The following is a 15,800-nucleotide window of genomic DNA, read 5'->3' as shown; positions in this document are numbered from 1 at the left end:
GTTTCCTTGTTGATTTTATTTTGTTTTACAACTTGTATAAGGCATATGTGATCAGGCAAAAATGTGTGTGAGTTGTGTGCATGTGTGTGTTTGTGTGTGTGCCTGTGTGCGTGTCTGTGCGTTGGTTAACCTGCAGCCACTGGCCCTTTACTTTCCCTGTGGACTTCAATGAGTGAGAAATTCCATCAAACCCCAGACTCCGCGCCAGCCCCAGCTGTGCTTGGTCCTTGGAGTGCCCCCGCCCCTACCAGCAAGGCCAGCTTCACCCCTGAAGACTAGGGGTGCTGACACAGGCCATGGCCTGGTTATCAGAAGAGAGTGGAGGCTTTCTGGTTCCAGCTTCTTTTTCCCCAAGCACAAGTGGAGTTCCTTTCTGACAGTCCCATGTGCACATCCGTGCCAGTCAGCAAGCCCTCCTGTAACTCACAGCCAGCATCTAAACTTTGCCCTGAATTAACACAACTGGCGCCTTAAGAGCTGACACTCAAGTGACCACCCCAAGGTCCCCCAAAAGTTGACTTCTCAGCAATGGTAAGATGGCTCAGTCTTGCAGCTCAAGCAGCCATGACAGATGCACTTTATCCTCTCTTGGAGAGCAAGTGGTGCGGTGGCTTGGAAAGCTGTCAAATGTGAGTTTCCACCCTCATCTGAGCCTTGAGTTGGGTGGAGAGATGAGTTTCTATCCCACCAGGAAACTCAGAGAGAAGTCCCCAAACTTGGCGGCCTGATGTGTCAGCCAGGGACTATGGCAGAATGGCCCGGCAGTACCAATCAGGATTCGAACTGTGTTGCCAAGCTAAGAATATCAGCCACATCTTAAGGCTTTTGCCTCACACTCTTCACCCACACGTGCATCAGTTCTCATGCACCGGTAGGGAATACTGGCATCTCTCCCATCCACAGATGAGGAAATCAGGGGCCACAGAGGGTAGGGGACTTACCCAGTTCATCCGTGACAGGGTCCGGATTTGGACCCAGGTCTCCATGCTTGGAGCCCAGTGTGCACTGCCTGCCTCCCCATGGCATCCGGACCACACGCCTGCCGCCAGGACCACCCTGCCCAGATTCAGACAACAGCAACTGGTGCAGATTGTCCCAAACTCACCATGTTCCATGCCCTCCCACAACTGAGCAAAACCAGAGTCCTTGGAAAACTGCTTATTGCGCGCATACTCCTTGCCAACACCGCTCTAGGCTTTAGGGAGTATGTGGTGAGCAAGGTGCCTGGGTCCCTTCCACATTGACCTGCAATGCAGCAGTGACTCCCACGCCCATGCAGAGGTGGCCCCTTTTTTGCATGTGTGTCTTCCTTGTCTTCTGCTATCCATCGTTTCCCATCTAGCCCTCCCCGGCTGCCTGCTCCTGTTCATGGCACTCACCGCAGAAGGCTAACCAGGTCCTGTACCCTGTGTACTCCTGGGCCACCGGGAGCGCCACCACCCATCACTGCGTGTTTCCCACAGTGCCTAGCAGAGAGTGGAGCAGGCCAGGTGCCCTGCACCTTACACGTGGAGTCCGATGGCCCAACTTCTCCTTCCAAGGCTGTGTTTCCTCTCATTTATTTTTCGAGCGGCAGAGCTGTGGTCCGGACAGAGCGGCCATGGCAACCATCAGGTGTTGCTCTCATGTGGACCTGATGGTTCACCACCAGTCCTGAGGGGTCACACCAGCCTCCCAGAGTCACGTCTGGCTGGAAAATGGCCAGCTGCTTCCCAAGACAAAGGCCTTGAGGGGCAGCCAGATTGTCCCTTCTTCTTCTCCTAGACCCATGGAGGAGGTGGAGGAACAAGGTCTTCTTGGAGTGCCTGGAGGCAGATATCTGCTTGCCCTCTAAGCATTTATGGTCCAGAGACTGCTGAAGTGGGCCCAGGAGGGCCTGGGTGAGCCACGGCCTGGCAGAGGGGCTGGAAGCTGCCCCACTCTGTCCCATGCAGGGGAGGAGTTCCCTCTAGCTGCGCAAGGAGAATGCTCTGAACCTGCATCCGGCACCTGGGGCTGCAGCTGTGTCCTTCAGCTGATGTCCTGGGACCAGGCCAACTCCAGAGTCACACAGACTTCCGTTAGAATCCCAGCAGCACCAGCCACTAGCCACATGACCTTGGGCAAGAGGATTCTGTCTCTGAGCCTCAGTTTGTTATCTGTGAATGGGCGGTGAAGAAACTGACCGCTGGGGGGTCCCTGTGAAGCTCAGATGAGAAGGTAGGTGAGGGAGGCCTGGCCACAGTCCCCTCCCTCCCTGCTCCCTGCCGCTGGGCACTCATCCTCTTCTGCCTCCTCCAAGCCCCCTGCCGCCTTCCAGGGCTTCACCTGCTTACCTGCATCATCTCATTCAATGGAGCAACAACCCTTTGAGGCAGGAGGAAGCTGAGGCTCGGAGAGGTGAAACTATTTGCTGGAGGCTGAACAGCAAGGGTGTGGCTAAACCCAGTAGCCCGGAACGCAGCCCTTAACCACCGTGCAGCCTGCACACCAGCAGCAGAGCAAACCAAGGAGGCGCCGGGTCCGAGGGCCGGCCCGCGGCTGACCGCATGTCCTGCCGGTTCCAGGGGCCCAGACCCCCACTGGCCCTAGTTTACCTTCTGACCCATTGGCCTTGACCACTGCTCCATGTGAGCTGTGGCTTCTCAGCAGACCAGAGGCCACCGCTGTGCCCACAGAGCCAGCAGGACTCTCCCTACGTACTGGAGCGGGGCAGATGGGAGGGAGCCCCTTTCAAGCCAGCACTCTCTTTGAAAAATTACTTGGGGAAGGCCGCCACTTTAAAGCCCTTGGACAAAGCATGTCCTTCATTGCCTTGTTTTTGCAGCCTTCTTCAGCCTGTGTCTGCCAAGTGGAGAGTAGAGGAGAGGGTGAGAGAGGGGCCGGGGCCATGCCCCAGGTCACCAGGCTTCCCGGGTGTGTGAGTCAGCTCGGCGGCCACAGCAGAGTGCCACAGATGGGGCAGCTTAGACAGCAGGGATTTATTCCCTCACAGTCCTGGATGCTGGAAGTCCGAGGTTGAGGTGACGGCAGCACTGGTTTCAGCCAAGGCCTCCCTCCTCGGCCTGCAGTCGGCACCATCCCCCCATGCCCTCACACGGTCATTTCTCTGTGTGTGTCTGCGTCCTCATCTCCTCTTCTTTCGGGAACCCCAGTCAGTTGGATGAGAGCCCACCCTAATGATCCCACTTAAACTTAATTATCTTGTTAAAAGCCCCATCTCCAATCACAGCCACATTCTGAGAGGCAAAGCTTCAATGTACGAATTTTAGGGGGACACAATTCATCCCCCTAAAACTGGATTCCTGCAAAACAGTCCCAGTCCGTGGGCCTTTAGCAGAAATCTGAGGATTGAGGGGCTCTGTTTTCTGGCACAGTAGAGACTTTTACCCACCTAGGTGCTCTCTTATTGTGGATTCTCACACCCCAAGGCGGGGGCAGGGGTGAGGGGTGCAGACTCTGGCCAGTGGCAGGGGACCCTGGCCAGTGGGAGGGGACTCTGGCCAGTGAGAGGGGACCCTGGCCAGTGAGAGGGGACTCTGGCCAGTGGGAGGGAATTCTGGCCAGTGGGAGGGGACTCTGGCCAGTGAGAGGGGACCCTGGCCAGTGGGAGGGGACTCTGGCCAGTGAGAGGGGACCCTGGCCAGTGAGAGGGGACCCTGGCTTCTGATGAATGTGTACCACCCTGTCTCCTTGTCCCTCTAGCACATAGGCTGAACCTCTCCTCGGTGGCACTGTCCACCATGGGTGTGAGAGTGGGGCCAGCTGGAGGGCCCAGAACACCAGTGCAGATGCAGCATCTCCTCCAAAAGGCTCCAAGCCCACTCCAGAGTCTCCTCTCTTTGCTTCCCTCCCCACAGCAAATTGCCCTCCCCTTTCTGTGAGTGAGGTGCCCCTGCCCATGCTGCCTGTTAGGAGCACATTCTGTTCTGGATATGAAGGTGTGCATGTGAATAAGTCAGTCTTTGGGACAGATGTGTCTGGGAGCAGGTGTGCATGGGAGCAGTGGTGCACAGGGGCAGGTGTGTATTGGAGCAGGTGTGCATGGGGCAGGTGTGCACTGGAGCAGGTGGGCACAGAAGCAGGTGTGGCTTGGGGCACACAGTCAAGCATGGTAGGTGGGGGCACAGGCCTTGGGACACTGTGTAGTCACATCTGTGTATACCTCTGCTTCCGGAGAAGCAGCCGTGGGTCTGACCCCAGTCTCCCCAGTCCAAGCCTGCAGCCTGTGCTCCATCTAGATGTGGGTGAGAGGGGGTGGGAGGGGGTGAGAGAGGGTGAGAGGGGGTAGGAGTGGGTGGGAGGGGGTGAGAGGGGGTGAGAGGAGTGAGCTGGGAAGAACCCAGGCAGGCTGTGGTCCAGTGAACTCCAGGCCCCATGATTCCATTGAAAATGCAATCCGCTGACTCAGTGGTTTACTTGAAGCCCTTCCCCCGCACCTGAACTTCTACCACTTTGTGAAGCTGAAGCCTCTTCCTCTTCCCCAACCCTCAGCCTTCCCCAACCCAGAGTCCAGCAGAGGAGCTGTTCTCCTCCCAGAGCTCCCATCCCGGGACACCACGGTGCCAGGACCCCCAGCCCAATTTATCAAGCCACACAAGCAGGACCAGACACAGCTGGCCCTGGCATCTGATCAAACATATACACGCAGCTGGAGGTTGGAGGCGCTTTTCATCATGGCGGCTTCTCAAGCATGGCGGCTCATGCTCTTTATCATGGTCTGATGGAGGGCCAGGAAGCAGGGCTCTCAGCAGCTGAGGGGCTGCCCCTCCTTCAAGCCCAGGGACAGAGCAGCATAAATCACCAAGGGATGGAGCCGTGACATCGATGGCTGAAACAGCCTGGCTGTCCCTTGGCTGCGCCTGGCCCTCCCATCTCACTGGCCCTCCCATCTCACTGGCCCCGCTCCGCTGTGCGGCACAGCTCTGTTTCCATGTCATGTCCACGAAGGCCTGGTTTTACTGGACCTGGATATCCCATCAGGTGCCAAGTAAACCCTGCAAAATAATGGAATTTCCAGGCGAGAGAGCCCATGACGAACACCAAACAGACTTTAGATATATAGAGTGAGTTCGCAATTAATTCGGGCCACAGTGTGCCAAGGCACATTTCCAAACTGGGCCTGGATTGGCGTGTCATCCTCCAGGAGAATATATTAGAGATAAAGGTTGAGTTTACAGCCCAAAAGAAATGTCAGTTGGAAAGGTCCCCGCTATTAAATCTTTTAAAGAACCATCTGCATAGGTGGAAAGAGATGCCTCCCACTCAATGGGCTGTTCCCCGGGAGTCAACAAGATCACCCTGGTGAAACAGCTTTTGAGGGTGTCTGTGACGATTCCCCACCTAGGGATCTCACTGAAGCTTTCCCACCATCCGACGAAGGTGAGGGCAGGCATGACCTCAGAATCTGGAGCAAGCGGCGTCCTGGATATGAGTCTGCCTCAGCAAGGGGCCTGAGGCTGCAGCCTCCCCACGCTGGCTCAGGTTCTCCTCTGGAAAGTGGGGACCGCAGTGCACCCCTGCATAGGATGCTGTGGAGGTTATCCGAGATAACACACAGACTGTGCCGGGCACAGAGCACAGGCTCAGAAAAGGCTCCATCCGTCCTGCTTCCGGCAGCTTCATGATCGACTGGGGAAACAGAGTCTCAGAGGGTGAAACCACTTAACTCGGAGGTGTAGGAATTGGAGACAGCCCCACCCCATCTGGGCACAGAGCTCTTTCCATGACCAACTGCCCCAGCGACGCTCCAGGACGCCACGAGCATAAGGCAGTGGTACCAGCAGAAATGCCTGTTAGCTGAAGGCTTTCTCAAAAAGTCAGGAGCCAGTGCTCCACACTGTGGAGGGGGGTTGGCCCAGACCCCCTCAGGGCCCAGACTCCCCTGGCCTCTGTCAAGAGCATGGTTTGCTGACAGCCAACAGCTGAGTTCCTTGCCTAAACTACCTTTTACTGGAGGTTAGACCCCATCCCTGCTCAAGGGCAGCCCACACCCAAGGACCGGTCAGGAAGAAGGTTCCAGATCCTGTCCCTTTTCCTGAATGTGGGACAACTCAGAAGGGCCGTCCCTGCTTCCGAGTCCTGCGGTCGGGGGGCTCCATGAGGCCTCTGCAGAATGCATGCACCTGCGCCCCGGCTTGCTGCCCTCGCCCCCACAGGCCTTGTTTCCAGAGTCCGCCTAGAAAACCCAGAGCCTCAGAGTCAGCTACCAAGGACCCTGACATAAACACTGTCCTCCTAGACACTTCTCCCTGCAGACAGGGGTCAGCAGGGCCCAGGTTCAGGGCCCAGGGGTTCAAGAAGTAGGGACGCTTGTGGGAGCACGTCCCAAAAGGATACAAGAGGAGGAGGGGCATCTTGGGGCCAGGTGCCACCCCTCACTGATGCCATCCTGGACTCTTCTCCCCCTGCAGAGGGAATGCACATGCCCAGGCCCAGAGGAAGCCACAGAAGGCCACTCCAAGGAGGCTGTGATGGAACAGGGAGGAGGTGGCCTGGGGGCTGAGGGGCTGGAGACAGGAGGGTGGAGCGGCTGGCACAGGGACAGGAGAGCGGGGTGGCTGGCACAGGGCAAGTCAGTCTAGGCAGGGAGTTTGTATTCTTCCCAAGGAGAATGGGGATGCGTAGAGGGTTTTAAGAGGAGAAGGCTATGTCATACTTGCATCCTGGAAAGATCTCTGACTTCAGTGTTGAGGATTGCTTAGAGGAACAAGAGGTGGGGCTCAAGTCAGAGGCAGCTATGGTTTCCAGGGAGAGGGGAGACGGGTGGGATGCCTTCCAGTACACGGTGGAGGAGGAATCGGCTGGGACTCGCCAGCAGCAAGGGCAGCGGTGCCCAGGACCCCGCCCAGGCTGTGCCTCTCATCATTTGAAGGCCTTTGCCTTGGACACTGTCAGCTGCAGAGTGCACCTCTGGCCAGGCCCCCGCGAGGTAGGCACTGTGGCCCTGCCTGTTCCCAGACGTGGTGTATCAGTCTGTTCCCACACTGCTATGAAGACATATCCGAGACTGGGTAATTTATAAAGAAAAGGGGTTTCATTGACGCACAGTTCCGCATGGCTGGGGAGGCTTCAGGAAACTTACAATCATGGCAGAAGGCACCACTTCACAGAGCAGAAGGAGAGAGAATGTGTGCTGGGCAAAGCGGGGAAGCCCCTTATAAAACCATCAGATTTTGCGATAACTCACTCACTATCAAAACGACAGCATGGGGGAAACCACGCTTATGATTCAATGACCTCCACCTGGTCCCGCCCTTGACGTGTGGGGATTACTACAATTCAAGGTGAGACTTGGGTGGGACACAGAGCCAAACCATATCACATGGGAACCATGGACCCCATCACTCAGGACCCTGTGCAGGGCCTCCCACAGGGAGCAGAAAACAGAGTCTATCCAGGAACCTCTCTCGGATATTGTTTTCCATACCATCACCTCCTTCTCATGGTCTCACACATGGCAACCACCCACCCCCCATTCTCCTGGCCCTTGGCACTAACTTCCCTGTGAGGGAGGCAAAGGCCGCAGTTCCCATTTCACAGATAAAGAAACTGAGGCCTTGAGATAGGACTGATTTGTCTCAGGTAGGAAACCAGCGCATCTGCCCGGGTCTGGCAAGAGCCCCTGCGAGTGACCTATGAGATTCAGATGGCGCGTTCTTCCCTCAGAGAGGCAGGGCTGCCTGCTGGTTACACACACCCTAACCATACTTCCTGGCCCACTTACGTCAAGCCTCATCAAAAATCCCCATCCATGGGGCCTTGGGGACCCCCTTCCTGAGCCGGGTGCTAAGAGGTTTCATGGATTCACTGTCTCATCCATCCCCTCACCATGGCCATGCGGTGGGAGCCGACAGACACTGAAGACCTGGGGTGTTACATGGCTTTGGGAAAGTCATTCTGCAATTTGAACAGGGTCCCCCAAGTGCAGGGAGCTCACCATGACTTTTGGGCTTCACTGTGGGATGCATATTTACATGCATCCTGGCCCCCGGGCAGACCCTGAGAATACACGGCCGCTCATCTGGGGTAAGGCCTGAGGCTGTTTGACGTCATGCGAGCACACCCTCTGCCTCTCAGGGCAGTGTTCAGGCGGGACAAGGATGCCCTGCTCATTGGCTGAAACAGCCAAGCTTCATTTGTTAAAAATTCTAGTCCTTGAGCCACGCCAACTTCATTATGGTCCTTGCCTCGGAGTCCTGGAGCTGCCATAAGAAAATACCACAAACAGCGAGGCTTAAAACAGCAGAAATGTTTCTCTCCCGGTTCTGGAGGCTCGAGACCTAGATGTTGCAGGGTCACGTGCCTCAGAGGCTCCTCCCTGCCTGCTCCGGTCCTGGCGGCTCCAGGCCTTCCTTGCGTGGCTCCAATCTCTACCTTCGTTTCACACCACCTGTCTTCAGGGCATGCTGTTGTTTTGGCCTCCTCTGCCTCCATCTTACAAGGACACCTGGGATGGTATTTAGGGCCAGGCCAGCCTGGCTAATCCAGGAGGATGTCCTCATTCATCTCAGGTCCTTAAGCTGATTGCATCTGCACGGACCTTTTTTCAAATAAGTCCATCTTCACAGGTTTGGGGTCTGGGACATGGGAGTATATTTTGGGAGCCACTTTCCACCCCGTATTAGTCAGAGTTCCCTAGAGGGACAGCACTAATAGGGTAGCTGTACATATGAAGGGGATTTTATTAAGGAGAATTGACTCACGCGATCACAAGGTGAAGTCCCACCATAGGCCATCTGCAAGCTAAGGAGCCAGGAAGCCAGTGTGAGTCCCAAAACCTCAAAAGTAGGGAAGCCCACAATGCAGCCTTCAGTCTGTGGCCGAAGGCTCAAGAGCCCCTGGCAAATCACTGGTGTAAATCCAAGAGTCCAAAAGCTGAAGAACTTGGAGTCTAATGTTCAAGGGCAGGAAGCATCCAGCATGGGGGAAAGATGGAGGCCAGAAGACTCAACCAGACTTTTCCTTCCATGTTCTTCTCCCTACTTTCTCCTGGCCATGCTGGCAGCTGATTAGATGCTGTCCACCTGGATTGAGGGTGGGTCTGCCTCTCCCCGTCCACCGACTCAACTGTGAATCTCCTTTGGCAACACCCCCACAGACACGCCCAGGAACAGTACTTTGCATCCTTCAATCCAATCCAGTTGACACTCAATATTAACCATCGCAATGCACTACATTCCAGGACACAATAAAAGAGGCCTCTGTACCCCACGTCTTCCTGTGCTCTCCAGCTTTGGAGGCTGAGAAGACAGTGGGGTGGAGACAGCCATGGTTTGGAGCAATGGGGGGTAAATGGTGCCTGCTGTGCACCTGGGTGTTGGGGGCAGAAACCTGTCTCCAACAGGAGGCTTCAAGCTGGCAAGAACACGTGGGGAGCTTGGTCAGAGGCTGCGTGCGGTGGCGCAGTGCTCATGTGAGATGCACGCCGTCTGGGGCTGTTATTTTTTCCAGCAGGCTCTAGTTTTATTTGTTTTCATTTTTAGTATTAAACCAATGTTTTTAATGGAAATACCTCCCAGATTAGATTTTCTTCCATAAGAGGAAGTGAAAACGGATATAGAATTTAAAATGACTCTCAAACTGGAGTCGAACCCAGAAGCCATATGTATTCCACCCTCAAAGTCTTTGAGCCTGGTCCACAAGCTGAGCCTCCGGGAGGGTTCTCGGGCCACAGAGAAGCAGCAGGAGGAGACAGAGGAAGAGTCCACACAGGAGGTGAACACTCAGGCTCAGGACCCTAGAAGCAGGCTGAGGGCCACAGCGCCCAGGTGAAGGAGCCAGGACCCCCTCCCAGCCCATTCCTCCAGGGCGCCGTCTCTTTCACTTCCACCTTCCAGCAAAAACAGGGCTGATCAGACGCCCAGGGCCTGGCGGGGGCACGGGACAGGAGCGTGGGCAGGGAAGCTCGGCTGCGGCAGGCCAAGAGTGGCTCCTGAAGAGAGGCCCACACTCACGCCCCGAACCCCTGGATATGATCTTATTTGGAAAAAGGGTCTGTGCAGGTGCAATTAGGTTAAGGACTGTAAATGAGGCCATCCTCCTGCGTTTGCCTCATGGGCCCCAATCACCACCCCCAGTGTCCTTATAAGAGAGATGCAGAGGAGATTAAAAGCCAAGAGAAAACCCATGTGAAGACAGAGGTGGAGTCTGGAGCATGGCGGCCACAAGCCAAGGAGCACCTGAGCCCCCAGAGCTGGAGAAGGCAGGAGGGTGCTCCCCTGGAGCCTCTGGGGGTGCAGCCCTGCCGACGCCCTGGCTGCGGACTCCAGGCTCCAGCGCTGAGGGAAGAGATCCGTCTCTAGCCTTCGAGGTTGTGCTCCTTCCATCCTGTGGTGGCCACAGGACTCACCCACACAGACTTCTGAGCTCAGGGCTCAGTGGGCAGGCCCACAGCATGGGGCACCTGGAAGGGCTGGGACAGCGCCAGCAGGGGAGGGGCTGGGGGCGGGAAGTGCCAGGCGGCAGGTCGAGCAACCTGTGCCAAGACCCCTGTGCGACTGGGCCAGGGACTTGGCCCTCGGCATCTCTCCCATGCCTGTCCAGTGAGGCTGACCAAGAAGGCACCAGGCCTGGGCCAGCCCCAGACAGGCTGGAGACAGGGTGCCAGCCAGGGAGGCCTACACGTCTGCTGTGGCCACTCTGGGCTGGACTCCTGGAAGAAGAGGATGGGCTCAGAGGCAGGAGCAGGCAGGCTGCCCACCCAGTCCAGACAGGGAGCAGGTCACACCCATGAGCCAGGGTTTTCCTGCCAGGCACAGGGCTGGGAATTCTCATGGATGCAGGGCAGGCCCTGCCCAGGATGTTATTCAAACGCTGGGGCAGCGACTCCCAGACCCAACTGCCCCAGCTGCAGGAGCAATCCCACCACGCCACAGGGGACTGCGGGCTTCTGCAGCCAGAAATGCGAGCTGGGCAGGGGTCCGCAGAGGAGCTGCGGGGGAATGGGCCTGGGGGTGACACACAGGGTGAGCGGCGGGAGCCCGTGCAGCCCCCACCCGAGGGGCACAGAGGCGGCTAACCCACGTCGGCATCAGCCGAGGCAGCCATGAGGCACGAATTTCTGGTGAGGGAGAATGGACATTCTCTTCTGATTGCTTCTATTTGGCTCGGGGTGGGGGGTGAACAGGAAGGGAAGGAAAGGCAGCGCATGGTCCTCCAGGGAACAGCCAGGGAAGGGGGGCCGCGCTTACTTCACTTGAGTGACCATGAGCTTCAGTGGAGATGGTCACTCGGCTGTGTGCCCTCCTCCAGCCACACATGTCCATGTGGGGCTGCACTGAATGGCCAGAAGGTGAGAGCCAATCAGAGGCCACTGACATGAGGGTGACGCATGTGTCTGTCTCTGAGTACAATGTGTGGAGAGGGTTAGTGTGCCCCATAGATGTTCAAACGGAAGGCACAGCCATAGCTGATTAGAATTGTGTTGCTGTTTGCATCCATTCTCCTTAAATAACCTTGAGAAAGAACTATTTGCCCCAAGTCTTGTGCAAATTCCTAGGAAGAGAAATTTCTTACATGTCTCTGCCTTCTATGTACCTGACATATCCTACTGAATACCGTGTGGAGTGGGTTGAAGGGTGGCCCCCAAAACAATAGGTCCACATCTAACTGGAAACTGTGGCTGGGGCCTTATCTGGAAAAATGAGTCTTTGCAGATGCAGGTAAGTTAAGGGTCTTGAGATGAGATCATTCTGGGTTATCCAGATAGGTCTTAAATCCAATGATAAGTGTCCTCGTAAGAGACACATAGCGGAAACACTGGGAGAAGAGGAGGGCTGGTGTGAAGAAGGAGGCAGAGGCTGGAACGACGCGGCCACAAGCCAAGGAAAACTTGGAGCCACTGGGAGTTGGAGGAGGCTGGCAGGCCTCCCCGGGGGCCTCTGGAGGGCAGCAGCCCTGCTGAGGTCCGGATTTCATGCCTCTGGCCTCTGGAACTATGGGAGAGTGCGTTTGTGTTGTTTGAAGTCCCCTCGTTTGTGGCATATTGTGCAGGACACTAACATGCTGTTTAATGTAGGTTTCCCACTTCCCCATCTACAGACCCAAAGCTCAATGTTGTAAGAGCCCGGCGGGGTTCCCACCAGGGCTGAGATGGTGACGTGGCGTCCACCCGCCTGTCAACACCCCACTCTCCCCTGCACAGTAGCTGCCGCGGTCTTTCTGCTCCAGGATGCAGCTGTCTCAGGTACCCTGCGCCGTGAGCGGACCACCCATCGTCGGCGTCTCAGACACGCCCACCCACTTGCCTGAGCTCAGAAAGTGCCGGCTGTGCAGCCCAAGCGTGCCATGGGCTTCCACTCGGCGTTCACGTCTCACCTCTCGGCTTAGGAAAACCCACGCCTCGCGCCAAGGAAAATGAGGCAGAATGTTGTGCACCGTTAATGAGACCATGGGCCTGGGCATCTCCTGGCTGCTGCCCCCTGGAGAGGCACTTCCATTCACCAGGGCGCCCCGCCAAAGCCCCTGCCCGATGAGGAATTTTCCCCGCTTTGAAGCTGGTGGGTCTGTGCCAGTTTGGAACACGGGGATCCAGCTCCTTGCGGGAGAATAAAAGCAACTCGCAGACAGTAAATGCTGGCAGAGATTCGGTTCTCTTTATTTTTGTCAACAAGGAGATTTGTTTTAATGGGAACCAGCAGATTTTCCACTCCTGCAGGTCTCAACAGCAGCAGCCCGGCTTCCACCCCAGGTGGGACAGCTGCAAATCTGGGGACAGTGGGGATGGAGGGAAGGATGGGGAAAGAGGGAGGGCATCCTAGGGAGAAGGGGCCTCAGCAGCAGCAGGGCAACTCCCGTCTCTCTCCTGGCCTTGCGCCCCGTCCCGCACGTCACCCTCCAGCTCACTGGCCCTCTGCTTCAGGCATCTGATGCCACTGTCCCCCAACGTCATTCTCCTCTTTGTGAGCTGACCTCAGGGCAGGACACTGACTCCTCTCCCTCCCTTGTAAGGAGGAGGGTAAAGGAGCAGAAATGCTTCCTGCAAGATGATCACGTATCTTAGGCAAAGTGCTTAGCCTCTCTGTGCCTCGTTTTCCTCATCTGTAAACTGGGGGACCTCAAAGCGTTGTCATGAGGATTCTGTGAGATAATAAGTGCCTGCAGAAGCAGCTGGATTCACACGTGCTAATATCAATCAGGCTTCAGCCTGGACGCGGAGAGCTGATCAGAGAGGCTCTTGGTTGTGTGTGTGTTTCTGACCCAGCCAGGGTGCAAACCTCAGACACTTAGGGGCCTAGAGGCTGGTAACAGTCCCACAGCTGGACCAGGCTGCCCGAGCTGCCCTTCTCCTTTACTCTGTAGACCTTGAGGCCCTGGCAGCCTCACCTTGACCCTGACCCACTGCTTCACCTGAGGTTGGTCCACCTTCCTAGCCTTAGGAGAGGTCCAGGTATTCCGGCTTGCTGCAGCCAACAGTGCATGTCTCTTCCGAAGTCTGTGTCAAAATCTGCCTCGGCCGGAGAGCTTACACCACAGAAATAGGCAGATGCAGCAAATTAAGGCCTTTTCTCTGAAGAGTGAGGCAATCATTAAGCACTCGGCAGCACCCACTGGTTCCACCCCAGCGGGATCCTGCTGATATTGGCCTGCCCTCCTGGGGGCCCAGGGTTCCTTGTCTGCACCCTCCCGGTGATGTGGCAGGCCCTCGGGCTCCAGCTGACGTTGGCCTTCCCTCCTGAGGACTCGGGTTTCCTTCCCTGCACCCTCCCAGTGATGTGGCAGGCCCTCAGGGGAGGATGGGAAGTTCAATCATCCCGTTATCCATGTTAAAAGCCCGGATTTCCTGTGGGGTGGCCATCTGCCTTCTTAAGAAGCTGTCTTTCCTAAACAGCTGCCTGAAGATATTTGCATGGCCATCATGGGGAGCAGGATTATTCCATATGGGCCAGGAGAAGAGAGGGAACATCGCTGCATGGAAGTTCGGGGAAGCAGTTTTGCTTTCACTCCGCATATGTCATGGGGTCACAAAGGCCCTTCCCAGGCCCATTTCTCTTTTCTGAGGACCCCTCCAAACTCCACTCACTTAAAGAGTACAGAGATACTGTCGTTGCAAAGCCCCTGCTGTGGCCAGTTATGAAGGGTGCCTATCCCTGCCCCTGCTTCTGTCACCCAGAGGCCCTCCCAGGGAAAGGAGAATACATGCCCAGCTCTTGACACAGGCCTGGTGAGAATTCAATGTCTGACCATCAGTACGTCCCAGGCCCACGTTCGCATCAAATCGTAGAACTACTGGGAGGACTCTCAGAGGTGTCGTGTTAACTTTCAGCGACTCCCCCTGAAAGGAGGCTGATTTCTTCATCAAAGCCCCCAGCTGAGGCTTGCTGAGTGGGGAAGCTGTCCCTGCCTGCATGGGGTCTGGAGCTGCTTTGGTAAATGGCCAAACTGTCGGCCTGCATTGAGACTGGCCACTGGACAGCCTGGATACAAAACATGCTGTTTTGTTTGTTTTGTTTACCTTTGAAACAAATTAAAACAATTAAGGCTAGATTTAAAACTGGGTTGACTGACAGTCTTTTGGGGGCAGGGTCAGTGATCACATGTGCCTGAAGATGAATCGTGAGTTAATGTCACAGGAAAAGGTTGGGTCTTATCTGGGGAATGTAAGTATTTCACTTCCGTGTTGTTTCTGGTTTACGCAGTGCTTTCAGACAGGCCCACAAGGAAAGTAAGCGCAGCACAGAGAAGCCACGGGTGGGCCCAGCGTGGTGCTGTGTGGGGCGAGGCTGAGAGGAGAGCTCAGGGCTCCTGGCCACCGCCTCCGTCTTCGTTCCCGTGTGGAATGGCAACTTTCCTCATTCAAAAATGATAGCGTAGTTCAGTTAATAGATTCTGCAAGTGGAGTGTCACATCTGCCTGGCGCTGCGTGGTTACTCAAGACTCAAATTGCGGTCTATAATTGTCACAGTCCTGGGAACGCGAATTCTGTGAGGCTGGAAGCTTGCGGGGAGCAAAGCTCCAGGCCGGAGTTTGGACCAAGCCTTCCCAGGTCCACGGCCATGTTCCGTCTCTGCCTTTGCATCCTAACACCTTCAGTGCTTAGGGAACTAACCAGCTCTCCCCTGAGCCTAGACCTCTTATTGGCTTGACTTGGGGTCAGAGAAAACTGGGCTTCTTGCTAAAGAAGGAACATGTAGTCTTCTGTTCAAACATGTATGTAGGTGTGGATTTGAGGGGCTGCTGGGCCTGTGTGAGGAAGCATTTGCTGCAGAGTCAGGAGGGCCTGGGGGTCCATTCATTGCCAAATCCAAATGACTGACCTACTTTCCCTCCTCCTCTTTGGAATGAGACTTACTCTCCAGAAAGGCTGTGCCCCGTCCACTGTACCCTCCAGGCTGCATGACTCAATTGCAGGAAACTCAGTCCCTCCCAGTGATGAGCAATGGTGCTGGCGGGTGGGTGTCTGGAGGGACTGAGACAGCTCCCCTCCTCTGCAGAGAGACTGTTTTCAATGACCAGAGTGTGGGGAGGTCAACAGACATGCCTCACACCCTAGCCCCACTGGCAGGGCCAGCTGGTGACTCAGGGGCATGCTGGCGTGCAGAACTTCAGGTAGATGGTGGGCCCTGAGCTGCAGAGGCTGGGGCAAGCGAGAGCAGGACCCAGGAAGAGGCACCCAGTCGGGCAGTGTTTAAGCGGAGTGCCAGAAGGTAAGCTTGGATGGTGTTGGCCTTTCTGAGGCAATGTGGTGGCTGCTATGGGCTGCCGGAATGTCCTGGTGGCTTCTGGAACATCTACAAGTCCCCTTGCACATAGATGCTGCAAGAGGCAGACCAGATGGCTGGTGGATTGTCCCATTTCTTCTTACAAAAGCTGAATTTTTG

At 56.0% G+C, this 15,800-nt stretch overlaps 2 annotated features.

The window, feature by feature from the left end:
• Window positions 12,253–12,834: an enhancer, noted in NCBI's record as "H3K27ac-H3K4me1 hESC enhancer chr9:137519401-137519982 (GRCh37/hg19 assembly coordinates)". NCBI's record gives its function as "activates a minimal SCP1, AML or CMV promoter by ChIP-STARR-seq in naive H9 embryonic stem cells {active_cell/tissue: H9 hESC(naive)}" and the evidence as "EXISTENCE:reporter gene assay evidence [ECO:0000049][PMID:30033119]".
• Window positions 12,835–13,416: an enhancer, noted in NCBI's record as "H3K27ac-H3K4me1 hESC enhancer chr9:137518819-137519400 (GRCh37/hg19 assembly coordinates)". NCBI's record gives its function as "activates a minimal SCP1, AML or CMV promoter by ChIP-STARR-seq in naive H9 embryonic stem cells {active_cell/tissue: H9 hESC(naive)}" and the evidence as "EXISTENCE:reporter gene assay evidence [ECO:0000049][PMID:30033119]".

Source organism: Homo sapiens, chromosome 9, assembly GCF_000001405.40.
Source record: "Homo sapiens chromosome 9, GRCh38.p14 Primary Assembly".
NCBI classification, from domain to species: Eukaryota; Metazoa; Chordata; class Mammalia; order Primates; family Hominidae; genus Homo; species Homo sapiens.
Note: the sequence above shows the minus strand (reverse complement) of the source record. Positions and strands in the feature narration are given on the sequence as shown.